Source organism: Homo sapiens, chromosome 2 (genome assembly GCF_000001405.40).
Source record: "Homo sapiens chromosome 2, GRCh38.p14 Primary Assembly".
Lineage (NCBI taxonomy): Eukaryota > Metazoa > Chordata > Mammalia > Primates > Hominidae > Homo > Homo sapiens.
The window spans coordinates 48512099-48529604 of record NC_000002.12 but is presented as its reverse complement, the minus strand read 5'-3'; the positions used below and the strand labels follow the sequence as shown (position 1 = coordinate 48529604).

The following is a 17506-nucleotide window of genomic DNA, read 5'->3' as shown; positions in this document are numbered from 1 at the left end:
TAAAGATGAAGCCCCACCTTCCTGGGCGAATCAATCATAGCAGGAGGAAGGACACAAGATAGTTTAGTGAGGGCCAAGCTGTGGGGGTGGGGAGGAGGTAAACGCGTCCAGATGCCTCCTCTTTGCTGCCTCAAGAGTGCATGGAGAGGGAGAAGGGGCGTTGTCCTCCCAGGAGAGGCTGCAGGGTGTCTCGTAGTCCCTATTCCATCGCCTGCTGGCAAATGACTCCAGGCAAGTCACTTGGCATCTCAGCCTCTTCCTCAAGGGGGGCTGCCTCACTGGGAGCCAGTCAGAATGAAGGCACCCTCCCCACCCCTTTACCCTGGAGAGACACCAAAACCCAGGACGAGAGACTGAGCTGAGTTTGAACAGGCTCAGAGGGGAGAGAAGAGGGCATTTTAGGCCCCATGGCATGGTGCTTTGGAGGTTGGCAAGACTGGAAGGCTTAGGGTAAGTGGGCAATGTTTAGATGGGAAGGTGGAGCTGGGCATGAAGCAGAATACAGGAAATCTCTGAAAGTTTTCAAGCGAAGGTGTAGAGTAGGCACTCAGTGAATCCTTGAGGATTCAAAATGGCAAATAAGAAATATTGGTTTAACAGTCCTGTAGGATGGACCACCTAGGAAGAAAGGGGTTGCATCCAAAGAGAGGGGTTAGGAGGCCCCGGTGAGCATCTCAACTTGAAGTACTATGCTGGAAGGTGGAAAGGCAATGAATTATTTTTTAATCGTAAATTTCCTTGAGGAGCTGGGCTAACTCATAGGCAGTGCACCCAGGGTTGGTGAAAATCAGTGGACACTTCTTTGTATTTGCACAGCAGTGTAATTCTTTTTTAAATGTTCTGTCAGGTGTAGCCTTGTTTTTGACCTTGGAGTTCGCTGGTGAAATGGAAATATAGTCAGTACCCTATTTGACCTCCAGCCAGTGTTAAGAACCTGCCCTCGGGGCTTTGAGGAAGGAAACTGACGTTCCAGGAGGGCACTCCTCGAGCGCCTGAAATCACACAGCCAGGATCTATTTAGGATACTTTTATTCTCAGATAAAACTACTAATTGTGCTTATGCTTAATATATCCTAAACACAGAAAAAGGCACTGGTTTCTCCTCAGCTTCTCATTTCCTCCAGCTACCTTCCAGTAATGGTTAAGAGTTGAGGAAGGGCAACTTGCCTAGGGAAGAGGAGAGCCTAGGGAATAGGAAGTCAACTGACTGGCTGGTTAACTTGTCAGAGATTGTTCCATGGAAACAGACAGGTACTGGACCCCTAAGTCAGGCTTCTGGTAAGGAGCTGAGAGAAGTGGAGCAAGAAGGACACAGGAAGCAGGAGGAGGAGGAACGGAAGAAAAAGAGAAGGGGCAACTCTTTGTTGTCCTCATGCTTTGACCGCAGGCATTTTGGGGTCCCCAAATTGAACCCCCAAATTGAACCTTTTTGGTCCTGTATCCAGCCCACCTTTCACCAGTGGGTCTTCCACAGAGGCCAGCTCATCTCAGAAACTGCCACAGCTAACTGGAGACAGGACTCATGCAGGAAGCAACGACACATTTGACAAACAGTAATCATCATTGCATTTACAGAGTTCTGTATGCACCTTTTAAACTTTGTCATCTTTGAAAGAAGCAGTATGGCCTTTATTAGTGGGTAGCCACCTGGTGAAAGAAATCTCTTTTGGAAACTCTGACACTTCTGCAAAGCAAGGATGCCCATAACTTTCTAAAGACTAATACAGTTGGTTGAAAACCATTTTGTCTTTTGCAAAGGACAGGCCTTCCCCCTCTGTGTGATTCAGCATTGCCCCAAAGGTTGCCAGTTTCATGAATGAAGATTTATTTCTTGCAACTCCACCATGTATTTCCAAAGGATCCTTTCTGGTAGTGTCCCTTTGTATCAAAATCTGGTGGTAAACAGCTTAGCCTGGCCTCAATAGCTAAGCCACCACAGCCGTTCATCACAGCTGTGAGCTCATTTTACTCCAGTTACTGTTCTTTCTCTTGCTTTACAATAAGTAGACCCTCAAACTATGTCATTCTCCTTTTTATTAGCAGATTTCTCTTTCCTGGCAGTTTTTTCATGGAAATATTTAGAACTTCCCAACTGTTTAACAAGAGATCCCCAAAGTATCTGTAGATATGACCTAATAGATTAGCTTGGAATTCCTCAAAACTCATGTCAGCTGAAGCTGTCAGGATCATTTAATATACATCCAAGGGGAGGGACACACTGAGAACTAAATGCTTCGTAGGAACATTCCTCTCTAAAAACTTGGCAACAGCAAATCTCTGTTTACATTATAACACTCATTCAAACTACAGCTTTTTGGCTGGGCACTGTGGCTCATGCCTGTAATCCCAGCACTTTGGGAGACTGAGACAGGCAGATCACCTGAGGTCAGGAGTTCAAGACCAGCCTGGTCAACATGGTGAAACCCCATCTCTACTAAAAATATGAAAATTAGCAGGGCGTGGTGGTGGGCGCCTGTAATACCAGCTACTCAGGAGGCTGAGGCAGGAGAATCACCTGAACTCAGGAGGCGGAGGTTGCAGTGAGCCAAGATAGCAACACTGCACTCCAGCTTGGGCAACAGAGCGAGACTCCATCTCAACAAATATTTATATTTTTTATGTATATATATTTTATGTATGTATTTTATATATTTATATATTATATATATTTTATACATATATAAGTATGGTTTTTTTGAAAACCATAAAATCTCCCAGTGGATGGCTTCAACAATAGTTAAAATGAAATCGAAAAAATTTAAAAATCACCATCTTGAGTACATAATACATTTTGCTCTCATGTTTGATAAACAGTTTTTAAATGAATTTTTTTTTTTTTTTTGCTATAAGTAAACCCAAATACTCTGGATGGAATATTCCAGAGATAAATAAAAAGCCCACATCTTCACTGAAAATGCCAAATGAAATCAATGATACTTAGGAGTATGATAATCAGTTCAGAATGGCTCAAGATTGACTGTCCTTTGTCCTGAAGATGGGATACTCTTGAGTGTAGTTGAGCCACATTGATCGTTGCTACAGCTGGCCACTCCCTTGGCTTGATTCCTAAAATGTATCCAGTTTTCATTTACTGAAAACCTACTGTGTACAAGACATTCTCCTAGGCACTGTGGGGGAGAAAGTATAAGGCACAGTTCCTGCCTCACAGTATCTGTTGCTGTTCAGGAAGATGGCATGCATGAGAATAACTACATGAGATATGTTGACAATTTACCACAGTACAAGAGGTCTCCTAAAGAAATATAGGAAAGCCGAAGAAAGGGAGAATATTCTTCACCATCTCAGCAAGATGTATGTGAATGACATTTTGTTCTTAGTTAACTGATCCGGTGCTATTTCTATTCTTGGGCCTATAAGATGTCACCACTAAGCTATTCCACTACTATCCAGTGTTTAGGGAAGCAGTGGGGTTGAGCTGAGAAATAATTAAAGCCACTGGTAAAACAAACACAAAGGTTCTAAATGGGGAGATACCTTTTGAGGCCCCTATACCTGCAAGCAAGCCAACAGATTCCAGCATGTTTCCATCTACCAGTCAATTCTTTCAATTCTTCTAATTTTTTTTGTTTGTTTGTTTGTTTTGAGACAGGTTCTCACTCTGTCACCCCGGCTGGAGTGTGGTGGCGCACTCTTGGCTCACTGCAGCCTCAACCTCCCTGGTCACAGGTGATTCTCCCACCTCCGCGTCCTGAGTAGCTGGGACCACAGGCACACGCCACCACACCCGGCTAGTTTTGTTGTTGTTGTTGCATTTTTAGTAGAGGCAGGGTTTTGCCACGTTGCCTAGGCTGGTCTGGAACTCCTAGTCTCAAGTGATCTGCTCACCTCAGCCTCCCAGAGTGCTGGAATTATAGGCATGACCCACCGCGCCCTGCTGTATTCCTCTTCCTACAAAGAGTTATCGTAATGCTAACCTTTTTTTTTTTTTTTTTTTTTTTGGAGATTTGGAAGAGCTATAATGGGTTTTCCTGCTCCAATGCTTTGATTGCCAGTTAATTTCCTAATTTGGAGCTAACTACTAAACTGCTTAAAAATTTAAGACAAAGAGGCAACCACTTACTGACAAGCTTTCCATTTATTGCCATGGTATCTGAGGACATGGCTCTTAGCCGAGAACAGAAGCTTCCTCTTCTGTCGTAAAACAAACTATTCCCTTGTTAATATGGCTGTGCCAGATGTTTTCTTAGCCATCATCAACCAAATACGTTGCTATCTTCATATGTAAAAGTAACAGAAGAGTTTGAAGACTTTTAAGATCTGAGAGCAACTTCCAGGGTTAATGCTATATAAAACTATAAACTGCACATTTTTCTTCCTGAATTCATATGTTCTTTATGAATTATAAAGGCTTAAATTCATAGCCATTTGGAGAGAGCCTTTTGTTCCAACTCTTTTAGTGGCTTCCTTAGCTAACTGGATCTTCAATTTTTTTTTTACACCTTTGTTTAGAAATGGTGTAGCTGAGTTTTGTTTTATTTTGTTTCAAAGGGTAATGAACTTAGAAAGTGGTCATGTTGTTAAAAAGTATCTGTGTGAGCATGCACACGTATGTTTATTGTGGCACTATTCACAATAGCAAAGACTTGGAACCAAGCCAAATGTCCAACAATGACAGACTAGATTAAGAAAATGTGGCACATATACACCATGGAATACTATGCAGCCATAAAAAATGATGAGTTCATGTCCTTTGTAGGGACATGGATGAAGCTGGAAACCATCATTCTCAGCAAACTATCGCAAGGACCAAAAACCAAACAACGCATGTTCTCACTCATAGGTGGGAATTGAACAATGAGAACACATGGACACAGGAAGGGGAACATCACACACTGGGGCCTGTTGTGGGGTGGGGGGAGGGGGGGAGGGATAGCATTAGGAGATATACCTAATGTTAAATGACAAGTTAATGGGTGCAGCACACCAACATGGCACATGTATACATATGTAACTAACCTGCACGTTGTGCACATGTACCCTAAAAGTATTAAAAAAAAAAAAAAGTATCTGTGTTAGTTAAGCCGGGCCTGCTGGCTCATGCCTGTAATCCTACACTTTGGGAGGCCAAGGCGGGTGGATTGGGCAGATTGCCTGAGCTCAGGAGTTCGAGACTAGCCTGGGCAACACGGTGAAACTCCGTCTCTACTAAAATACAAAAAATTAGCCAGGCATGATGGCACCCGCCTGTAGTCCCAGCTACTCGAGAGGCTGAGGCATGAGAATCCTTGAACCCAGAAGGTGGAGGTTGAAGTGAGCTGAGATTGTACCACTGCACTCCAGCCTGGGTGACAGCACAAGACTCTGCCTCCAAAAAAAAAAAAAAAGTATCTGTGTTAGTTGAACTGATAGTTTCTTACCAAAAACAGTGGAGAATCCAGTTGTATTAGCTTTGCAAATTGAGTAGTATTGCATGTAACAACTAAATGGGGGGGGGGGAGGGGGAATGGTGGCCACGAAGGATATGACAAAACAAAGGCTTTTTATCAGTTTCTTAAACTGTGCCTGGAGGCTCTTACCCCTTCAACCCAGGATCGCTGGGTTTGCTACTGAACACAGTGTGAATGGTGCCCTCCAGAGCTGTGCAACCAGGTAATTTACTCCCCCTCTTCCTATTAAATAACTTTTTTTCTCATTTGAAATTTTTCTTTTTTTTGAGATGCAGTCTCCTTCTGTTGCCCAGGCGATCTCGGCTCACTGCAACCTCCGCCTCCTGGGGTCAAGCAATTCTCCTGCCTCAGCCTCCTGAGTAGCTGGGATTACAGGCATGTGCCACCACACCCAGCTAATTTTTGCATTTTTAGTAGAGACAGGGTTTCACCATGTTGGCCAGGCTGGTCTCGAACTCCTGACCTCAAGTGATCCACCTGCCTCAGCCTCCCAAAAGTGCTGAGATTACAGGCATGAGCCACTGAGCCAGGCCTCATCTGAAATTTCTTATAACACAATTCCAACTTTTTTCTCACTTGGAATTTGTTGTAACATAAGCGCAACTTTAATTAAAAACACATTTATATATGCATGAAATAAAAAGCAGGAACAAGCAAAAACGTTAATAGCTAAATCTCTGCTCCTGATTCTTTTCCTCATTTTCCAAATTTTTCAAAATTTTAATATATATTTTTTAACAGAGATGGGATCTCCCTATGTTGCCCAGGCTGGTCTCAAACTCCTGGGCTCAAGCGATCCTCCTGCTTCGGCCTCCTAAAGTGCTGGGATTATAGGTGTAAGCTACTGCACCTGGCCCAATATTCCAGATTCTCAACAATGGGCATGTAATATATAATCAGGAAAAAGCAGGAAGTTTTGCTTCAGACAATTTTGAAAATTCCATCTTCTCCAGAAAGCAATGAATGATTTTTTTTTTTTTTTTTTTTTTTGAGACATAGTCTCACTCTGTCACCCAGGCTTGAGTGCAGTGGTGTGATCTTGGCTCACTGCAACCTCTGTCTCCCAGGTTCAAGCAATTCTCATACCTCAACCTCCTGAGTAGCTGGGATTACAGGAGTGCACAAGCAGGCCTGGCTAATTTTTATATTTTTAGTAGAGACAGGGTTTCACCATGTTGGCCAGGCTGGTCTTGAACTCCCAACCTCAGGTGATCCGCCTGCTTTGGCCTCCCAAAGTGCTGGGAGTACAGGCATGAGCCACTGCTCCTGGCCTGCAATGAATGATTAATTAAAAGAAAAGTCCTTCTTTCTTTTTTTTTTTCTGGTTTTCACTCCTATGCAGATTTCAATCCCTACTCTGTGCATGGACTGAGAATCTCCTCTTTTTTGGGGGGTTGGGGGGGACAGAGTCTCACTCTGTCACCTATGCTGGAGTGCAGTGGCATGGTCTCGGCTCACTGCAACCTCCACCTCCCGGGTTCAAGCGATTCTCCTGTCTCAGCCTCCCGAGTAACTGGGACTACAAGTGTGTGCCACCACACCCAGCTAATTTTTGTATTTTTAGTAGAGATAGGGTTTCACTATGTTGGCCAGGCTGGTCTCGAACTCCTGACCTCAGGTGATCCACCCTTCTTGGCCTCCCACAGTGCTGGGATTACAGGCGTGAGCCACCACACCCAGTCTCTTGTTTTTGGTTTTTTGGGTTTTTTTGGAACGGAGTTTTGCTCTTGTTGCCCTGGCTGGAGCGCAATGGTGCGATCTCAGCTCACTGTAACCTCCACCTCCCAGGTTCAAGCAATTCTCCTGTCTCAGCCTCCTGAGTAGCTGGGATTACAGGTGCCAGCCACTACGCCAAGCTAATTTTTTGTATTTTTAGTATAGACAGGATTTCACCTTGTTGGCCAGGCTGGTCTTGAACTCCTGACCTTAGGTGATACACCCACCTCAGCCTCCCAAAGTGCTGGGATTACAGGCATGCACCACTGCGCCTGGCCAGATCTCCTCTTTCACTTCCCATGTCACAAGAGGCCCAGACAAGAGAGAGAATTCTTTCAAGAGGTAGGCTGTAAACACAAGTAGAGGGACAGGGCAGTCACTAGAAGGACTCATGGAGTTGAGCAAGGGTTGTTTTAAGGATGAGAGACACTTGATGCCCAGAATATTGAGGAAGGCAGATCCCAAGACAACATCAGTGCTGCCAGCCCAGAGATCAAATGAGGCAGCCTGGAGCACGTCAGATGGTTCTGGGAGAGAATTCCTGAAGAAGATGGAAGTTGGCTGAACACCCAACTGAATTTGACCACACTGTAAGGAGCCTTATACACTTGGGAGTGAAGTTAGGAATAAACTAGTGATAAGTACCATAGAAAACATAGTAAATAATTTTTTTTTTTTTTGAGACGGAGTCTCACTCTGTCCCTCAGGCTGGAGTGCAATGGCGCGATCTCAGCTCACTGCAAGCTCCGCCTTCCGGGTTCACCCCATTCTCCTGCCTCAGCCTCCCGAGTACCTGGGACTACAGGCGCCTGCCAGCAGGCCCGGCTAATTTTTTGTATTTTTTTAGTAGAGACGGGGTTTCACCGTGTTAGCCAGGATGGTCTCGATCTCCTGACCTCGTGATCCACCCACCTCAGCCTCCCAAAGTGCTAGGATTACAGGCTTGAGCCACAGCGCCCAGCAGTAAATAATTTTTTTTAAAAAGACTCCAGGGAAAACAGAGTTGTACAAGAAAGGAAAAATAATCACAGTATGTTATATGACTCAACTATCACCAGTATTTGAATACTCATAATGAAGTATATGGTGAATACTGACCCAGTCCAAATGTTTTTGGCTTTTTGAGATGGAATCTTGCTCTGTTGCCCAGGCTGGAGTGAAGTGGCAAGATCTTGGCCCACTGCAACCTCCACCTCCCAGATTCAGGTGGTTCTCCTGCCTCAGCCTCCCAAGCAACTGGGATTACAGACACACGCCACCATGCCCGGCTGATTTTTGTATTTTTAGTAGAGACGGGGTTTCACTATGTTGGCCAGGCTGGTCTTGAACTCCAGACTTCAAGTGATCTGCCCATCTCGGCCTCTCAAAGTGCTGGGATTACAGGTGTGAGCCACCGCACCTGGCCTTTAGTTTTATTTTTTTAGAGGCTGGGTCTCACTCTGTTGCACAGGCTGGAGTGCAGTAGCACAATCACGGCTCACTGCTGCCTTCGAACTCCTGGGCTCAGGCAATCATCCCGCCTCAGCCTCCTAAGTACCTAGGAGTACAGGCATGAGCCACAAGGCTAGACCCAAATGTCAATATAACTAGTTTAAACAGTGAGTATATGTATGTGTATGTGAGTGATGCAAAGGGGAGGCAGATGAAACAGACAAATACTCATCTTCCAACTGTAAATTCAATTAATAATGCCTAACAAGAAGAGCAAAGGTAGCATGCCATTTGGAAATATAGATAACAAAATAGTGAATGAAAGTGGTTTTTCTGTGGGGAGCATGAAATGGCGGGAGGATCAGGGGTCTGTTTGGTTTTGCCTTATTTTATCTTAGTAATAACTGTTTAAGAGCAGCCTAACTCAAACTAAGTTCAAAACTTAATTAAAAATACAGATACGGGCTGGACGCAGTGGCTCACGCCTGTAATCCCAGCACGTTGGGAGGTCGAGGCGGGTGGATCACCTGAGATCAGGAGTTTGAGACCAGTCTGACCAACATGGTGAAACTCCGTCTCTACTAAAAATACAAAAATTAGCCGGGCGTGGTGGTAGGCGCCTGTAATCCCAGCTACTTAGGAAGCTGAGGCACGAGAATCACTTGAACGCAGGAAGCGGGAGTGCCACCAGAGATGGCACCATTGAACTCCAGCCAGGGCGACAGAGTGAGTCCCTGTCAAAACAACAACAACAAAAATACACACACACACATATATTTATACAGATACTACTTTAAAAATAAAAGCCTCCATTTTTTTTTGTTTGTTTGTTTTTCAGATGGAGTCGCACTCTGTCGCCCAGGCTAGAGTGCAGTGGCATGATTTCGGCTCACTGCAACCTCTGCCTCCCAGGTTCAAGCAATTCTCCTGTCTCAGCCTCCCGAGTAGTTGGGACTACAGGCGGCCACCACGCCCGGCAAATTTTTGTGTTTTTAGTAGAGACGGGGTTTCACCATATTGGTCAGGCTGGTCTCGAACTCCTGACCAGTGCTCTGCCTGCCTTTGCCTCCCAAAGTTCTGGTATTACAGGCGTGAGCCACCATGCCCTGCCAAAAAGCCTCCATGTATTATCTCTTCCTTATTGCTCTGAAATAATCGCAGGACAGGATGAACAAATGAGTTCGTGGTTATAATTTGCGTGTTCACTTCCTTGTCTCACTAAAAACAGGCTGTAAGCTCTTCTCAAGGGCAGCCAGCACGTCTGGTGAGCGTGCCACAGTCTGCTCAGCACTAAGCACGCAGCAGGCACTCGGCACACACTTGCCAAATGAATGATGACATGGGTAAGACAGGCTCCCATCTTTACAAACACCCGCAGAACTGAAGTATTTATAGACGAAATGACCCAGTGTCCGAGAATGGCCTTAAAATATGCCAGAAAAAAAGAAGTGTGGAAAAAAGATAAAACAAGATTGGCAAAATGTTCATAAGGAGTGATGGGGACACAGGGCTTGTATGAGTCTACTTTTGTGCATGTTAGAAAATTCTCATAATAAAACAGCAACAACAAGAACGTTTACACAGAAAGAGGACCAGAATGAAGGGATGGCGTCATGGCATAAATATATAAAATTCAGAATCTGGTGTTCGGCAAGGCTGGTGTAACAAGGAATATGTAAATAAAAATGAGGGATCAGGGGAAGAAAAAATTACGTCAAAGGCAAACCATATGCCAGGGACTTTAAATTAGCTCAAGAAGTTCACTAAAAGCTGACTGAAAGGAGGCACAGGGGTACTTAGTGAAGATGTAGAAAGGGGATGTTGAATGAAATACTGCTGGAGTTGCTAAGAAATTTAGTATTTTTTTCCTTGTTTTTTTCTTTTTTTCTTTTTTTGAGACAGGGTCTTGCTCTGTCACTCAGGATGGAGTGCAATGGTGTGAACATGGCTCACTGCAGCCTTGACTTCCTGGGCTCAGAAAATCCTCCTGCCTCAGCCCCTCATGTAGCTGGGACCACAGCTGTGCACCAACACCCCCAGCTAATTTTTAAAAAAAATTTGTAGAGATGAGGTCTCACTCTGTTACCCAGGCTGGTCTCAAACTCCTGGGCTGAAGTGATCCTCCTGACCCAGCCTCTGAAAGTGCTGGGATTACAGGCATGAGCCACTACACCCGGCCAAAATTTAATTTTTGTCTTCCAAATATACAGTACCTGAAGGAGTTGAAAGCCCCCAATTTAAAAGGCTCATAGCACAGTAGTGAATAATCCAAGCTGAGTCAGGCTAGACTGGGTTTGAATCCTGGCTCCAGCAGGTACTGTGTGACTGTGGGAAAGTTACTTAGTCCCTCTAAGCCTTGGCTTTCTATCTGTAAACTGGGGATAGTAATGGTATGTATGAGATATGGTTGCTGGGAAGTCTAAATGAAGTAATACATGTCAAGTCATACCTACACCTAACTTATGGTAAGTGATTAATAAACAGTGGTTATTATATGCCTTGGGAGATGACCGCCAAGAGAGCAAAGATCTAAGTTAAGTCAGAAGAGCACAATTTTGCCAGGGATCCAACTGTGCCCTCTACAGTCCTGCCCTATCCCTCAGCCCTAGGAAACCTCCCACGGAAACTGTCCCCTACAAAATGGCCAGGCAGTCCACAAGCACTGCCTCAGAACCTATAGGGCCACACACCATGCAAGACAATGGAGGTGGCTGGTCTGGGAGCTCTTTTGACAGCTGTCACAGATGGTGGGAGATACAAGTCTCAGCCACCAAAGCAAAGAGTGAAACAATCCCAAGATTCACATTGTCTCTAAGGGAAAAATAAGGCTCATTGCTCAGGAGACATGAAACTTTCCTGATCCAGAGGTCTGAGAGTTTTTACTGTAAGCAGTTAAAGTAGAGGGAGGGTACACTGTGTATATGGAAGAGAATGAGGAGAAAGTGAGCTAAGCAAGTGTCACATACACACTACTACTAGATCTTGCCCAGCAGACAACAAGGAGCCATCGTGAAGGCTTTCCATCTGGAGAATGGCTATGGCAGAGATATGTTTTAGAAAGATGGCCTAGCTGGGTGCGGTGGCTCACGCCTGTAATCCCAGCACTTTGGGAGGCTGAGGCGGGTGGATCACCTGAGGTCAGGAGTTCAACACCAGCCTTCCCAACATGATGAAACCCCATCTCTACTAAAAATACAAAAATTATCTGGGCATTGTGGCGGGAGCCTGTAATCCCAGCTACTTGGGAGGCTGAGGCAGGAAAATCGCTTGAACCTGGGAGGCAGAGGTTGCAGTGAGCTGAGATTGCACCATTGCACTCTAGCCTGGGCAACAAGAGTGAAACTCCGTCTCAAAAAAAAAAAAAAAAAAAAGAAAGAAAGAAAGACGGCCTGGCAGAAGGGGTGGAAGGACTGGAGTACAGGAAGACAAGTAGTCCAGACAACTGGTATTCAGGGCTCAATTTAAGATACTGAATAAGGAGAGATCAGAAGTGCATGGCATTGCAAAGGCAGGAAGATTCAATAAGATGACCAATGAGATGTGCCAGGTGAGGAGGAATCAAAAGTGATTCCAGGTCTCCCGCTTCCTTTACAAACAGGTGGAAGCTACTTGCTCCTCCCTCAATCCTCCTGCTCAGTCAAGTTTGTTCAGGCCAAAGCCTTTGGCTTCATCTTTGACTCCTCTCTTTCGCTCACACCCCACATCCGGTCCAATCAACATTCATTCAACAAATATTAACTGATGCCAGACAGTATTCTAAGTACAGGGAACGCAGCAAGACAAAAACACCTGCCTTCCTGAAGCTGCATCTAGTGAGAGAAACAGGTAATAAATAAGATAAATAAGCAAAATATATCATATGTTAGATTATAAATACTAAGGATTAAAATAAAGCAGAGTAGTAATAGAAGTGTAGGGGAAAGGAGTCGCAATCTTAGATAAATCTGTCAGCAAACTGTATCAATGGTGGCACAAACATATAGTCCTAGCTACTTGGGAGGCTGAGGCAGGAAGATCGCTTGAGCCCAGGAGGTCGAGGCTGCAGTGAGTGTGAGCACACCACTGCACTCCAGCCTGGGTGACAGAGTGTGACCCTGTCTCAAAAAAATTAAATTGATAAAAAAAGTATGGGCTAAGTTCAGTCTATTTGGAAGCTGAGGGAGAGGACATCAGTAGAATGAGAAATTGAAGATCTAAAAGTGAAAAAACAAGCACCAGAAAAGGTATGGCATTAAGAGCATCAGAAATACCCTACCTTTAAGGGTAGCAGAGATGCCTCTGCCTCTGAAGCAGGGGAGAACGGGAAGCATGGGTAAATATATGAAGCGGTGGGGCAGTTGAGAAGTGTTTTTGATGGTACAGATGGTACAAATCCTAAGAGTGAAGGGGGCAGACCTTAAGGAGAGAAGTGGTGTAGCCATTATTGAAATTTAGAATAAAAATGGACTAAAAATACCCAAAGGACTGTCCTAGAACAATGAAAGGCTGGCAGGGGCTCAAAACCCTAAGTTCTTGACAGAGCTAGTTAGGATGGCTCTTTTTTTTTTTTTTTTTTAAGACAGAGTCTCACTCACTCTGTCGCTCAGGCTGGAGTGCATTGGTGCTATCTCAGCTCACTGCAACCTCCATCTCCTGGGTTCAAGTGATTCTCCTGCCTCAGCCTCCCAAGTAGCCGGGATTACAGGCACATGCCACCACGCCTGGCTAATTTTTTGTAGTCTTAGTAGACATGGGGTTTCACCATGTTGACCAGGCTGGTTTTGAACTCCTGGCCTCAAGTGATCCACCTGCCTCAGCCTCCCAAAGTGCTGGGATTACATGTGTGAGCCACTGTGCCAGGCCCAGCATGGCTCTTTGATGTTTCCCTCGCAGTGTTTGGGGGCCTACTCACAGCTGCAGTGAAAACAACTGGCTGAGTAGATAGAAAACTGACAATGGACAGGGCAGAGAAAACAGAAAGGGCAAGGGGGCTAGGGACTTGAAGGGCTGGGAAAAATGGAACTGAACCAACCAACCCAGAGATCCCCCAACTCAGGATCCGAATGCTTTCACTGTGGTGAGGACTGGGCCTAACAACCAGAGTCTCTCTGTATGGCAGACAGCTGAGGACTTAGGGCAGAGGCCAAGGAGTTGGCTTTTGTGCTGAGCACAGAGAGAAGCCGGTGATGGGATCTCAGGTAAACTCCGGAATAAAGCATTTTAGAGGGTGACTCACAACTGTCTAGAGAGTAGACTCGAGAGATGGTGCCACAGGCGGAGAGGTAAGGAGAAGTGGGTTTCAGGAACTCCTCAGCTAATCTGGAGGCCTGGACACGGTTGAAATGGGCCTGTGAAAGCAGTTCAGAAAGGAGTAATATATTTAGTGCCTCGGGAGTAGGGGTGGAGAGTGCTGCCAGAGCCACTCCTGACACTAATACAACACAATGTTTATGATATCAGCCAAGGGAAGCCTTAAAGGGCTCAGGCTCTTTGCTTGAAGTGTGGTTTAAAGTAGCTTTCAAGGCAAAACTCAAGAGCCTTACTAAAGGATTAACTGTAGAATTATTCCAATTTGAGGAATCCGAGGATTACACCTAAGTCAGTTGGCATTTGATATGTTTTGTAACAGCCCACTTTAATAGGGTTCAGTTTCCTTTATCAAATTTTAATAGAGAGACTGAAAGTGTGATATAAGTATGAATTTATTGACATGAACTTCCTTTAGCTATTACTCTAACACAGGGTATCAAAGAGCTGAAGATAATGATACTAAACCCACAGGATCTGAAGTTTGGAGGGCTCCCTCTCCCTCAGAGAGAAAGAAGAGAGAGAGAGAGAGAGAGAGAGAGAGAGAAATATGAACAAATCTTTTAAAAAGAATCTGGAGAATGCCTTCAACTATAATAAGAAGTAATGACAGTTTGACAATTTAAGCATTTTTTTCCAGAAACATATATCTATTCCATAGATACCAAATCGATTACCATATAATTGAGTTTGAAAGTATACAAAATATTTGTTCTTACATACTGAAATTAAAACCTAATTTTAAAAAGTGCACAGTAAAAACAGCATAAGGAAACCTACAATATCCATGACATACGTATTGTTTTCCATTTACTGCCGACATCAACTTCTGTATTTGCCTCACTGGTTACAAATATGTTTTAAATATTTCAAGGCCGTTTCCAACACTGACTAGTTTACTAGGTCCAACAATACTTTAGCTTCCTGAAGGCAGCCAGCATGGACGTGGTCTCAGCCCTGCGGCTCTGTGCAGCAGGAGCAGGTCTGGAAAGAACAGTCGCCAACCAGCTATTTCAAAACTATCGACTCTTGTTCTTTTTAGAATTCCCCTGTGCAAAGAAAAATATCAACAATAAGAACATAAACATAAAAAAAAATAACTCACATAGTTTATAAACCAAGCTGTCTGAAAGCCATATTTCACTTTGGAACACTAGCTTCCAAAAAGGAGAATAGCTGATAACCTTGCATTGTTAACTTTTATTCAATAATCGCAAAGCAGTTTGTTATACTCTCTCTCCTCTCTGCTTCCACAGACCCTATCCCTCTCGGGGCTGAGGACAGGAAATAAAGAAAGAAAAGAAAGCAACTATCTTGGATTTATCAAAACTACAAACATTCATTTTGTTCCAAAGACAAGAGAGTCTAAGATTTCAAGAAGCTGAATAAAAAAATGTTAGCCTAAACCCCAGCACTTTGGGAGGCCGAGGCGGGTGGATCACGAGGTCAGGAGATCGAGACCATCCCAGCTAACATGGTGAAACCCCGTCTCTATTAAAAATACAAAAAAATTAGCCGGGCATGGTGGCGGGTGCCTGTAGTCCCAGCTGCTTGGGAGGCTAAGGCAGGAGAATGGCATGAACCCGGGAGGCGGAGCTTGCAGTGAGCCAAGATGGCGCCGGGAGAATGGCATGAACCCGGGAGATGGAGCAACAAGACTCTGTCTCAAAAAAAAAAAAAAAAAAAAAAAGAACATGTCTCGTCATTGTTTAAATAAACACCTTTTCTTTTAAAGGTCTTAATAGGTAATAACTCTGAATATGTGCTAACTAACACCCAAACGGCACTGATTATCTGTCAAAAGTCAGCTTGGATACTGGCTGAGAACAAATCAGAGAGAAGATGACTTATTCCATTTCCTCAAATACGGAGATTTGGATTTTCTAGTTTTGTATAATTTTTATTCTTTCTGGAGAGGCTCCCTTCTTGGGAATACATTTTAATTAAATTCCTGTATTTAACTCTTAGGCATAAATACATTTTCTTCATGGAAGAAATGCTTGCAGAATATAAACACTAAGAGCAAGATCATAGCAAACAAATGGTTGAGGATGTTTACTTTGTATCCAATGCAGACAATGTCAGCCATAAGATGATGCTATAGCAATGTAAATTACTAAATGGGGGAAAAGCAAACTACAGGATTACAGAATGATCAAAGACAGGTTAATGACATAAATTCAAACTGAAGAAGGGTCTCTCAGAGTTTTATTAATGGCTGGTATTTTAAGGAAAAGATCAACAATCTCTAAAATGCTGTGTGCTGTGATTCACGCCTGTAATCCCAGCACTTTGGGAAGCTGCAGCCAGCTTATCACTTGGGCCTGGGAGTTTGAGACCAGCCTGAGCAACATGGTGAAACCCTGTTGCAAAAATACAAAAAAAAAAAAAATTAGCCGGGCATGGTGGTGCATGCCTGTAGTCCCAGTTACTAGGTAGGCTGAGGTGGGAAAATCTCTTGAACCTGGGAGGTGAAGGTTGCAGTGAGCCAAGATCTCACCACTGCACTCCAGCCTGGGTGACAGAGCAAGACTCCATCAAAGAAAAAAAAAAAGTCAGAGGAAACTTGAAAATTCCCTAACTTCTGAAGTAGCTGCAATCCAATTACCTTCAGGACAATGAGCTTTGCTGTACTCAACATGTACCTTTCTCAATTCAAAACCAAATACTTCTGAAGTTCCAGAGATTGAAAAGTTTTCAAAAATTATTGCTACTTCTTTTCAAATTTTAGGTGCTAAAACAGGCTTTCTCATACTACTACACTAAAACAAATTATACATACCATGAGAAAACCCAAAACACGACCTCTTCAATGTGTGTATTTTCTACCACTACTAAGAATATAACTTGTGAATTAGATATTGCTCTGCTGGAATATGGAATAACAAGAAACCAAAAGGTTAAGGGAGGCTTTCCTTAAAAGGACCAGCCCCCTGATCGCCAACTCCCTTACCCCCAAGCTCAAGTTTCCTGAACCACAAGTAACTGGAGAACCATAATGAGAACCATATTGGGTGATTACAATAATCACAGAAACAGCCCAGAAAAGCATCAGAGACAGCCTCCAAAGCAGCAAGCAATCAATGAATATCACGAAACTATGTTGATAAACAAAATCATATATAATGCAGATTCCAATGCATTAACATGACGTATTTTCCAAGAAGACCCTAAATGAACAGAATCCTGTCCTTAACACCAACAGCAGATGCTAAAATAAAGCCATGGTTTCTTCATCTCTATTTCTCCCCAGTATACACAGCAGGAACTCAATAAATGCCTGCTGAATCACAAAGGGGCAGCAGCAGATCTCAAAGACTGCAGGCTGGAGATGGTAAATCCCAGCTGATGGTGGTATAATACTGAGTTATGAAAATGGACTAAGCACATGAGATGATGCCAACTAAGTGAGCCCCTGGCCTCCCAAAGTTTACCTTTCATGGCAAAACAGTACATACGTTGTTACAGTAATAAAGACACGGTATGTGGATATGCATTTCAGCCTAAACATATTGCCCAACATCTACTATCTCAGTCTGGGCAAGCAGAAGGATTATGGGAAAGGAAATCTAGTTAAAAGGGTAAGACATTCCAAGGTTATATTAACATTTATGAGAATAAATTTTCTAACATTTACTCTTCAACAGTACCATTTTAGGTCTTAC

The 17506-nt window shown here is 43.8% G+C and overlaps 1 protein-coding gene across 4 annotated transcripts in view; it reads right to left on the bottom strand.

The window, feature by feature from the left end:
• PPP1R21 (protein phosphatase 1 regulatory subunit 21) overlaps positions 14219-17506 on the bottom strand; it is a 74621-nt gene continuing 71333 nt past the window's right edge. For all 4 annotated transcript variants that reach the window (NR_024188.3, NM_001135629.3, NM_152994.5 and 1 more), the window contains one exon: positions 14219-14890. Coding sequence is in view for 3 of the 4 variants with exons in the window: in NM_001135629.3 (NP_001129101.1) it covers positions 14861-14890 (30 nt within the window). In the remaining variant the exon portion in view is untranslated. The remainder of the gene's footprint in view (positions 14891-17506) is intronic.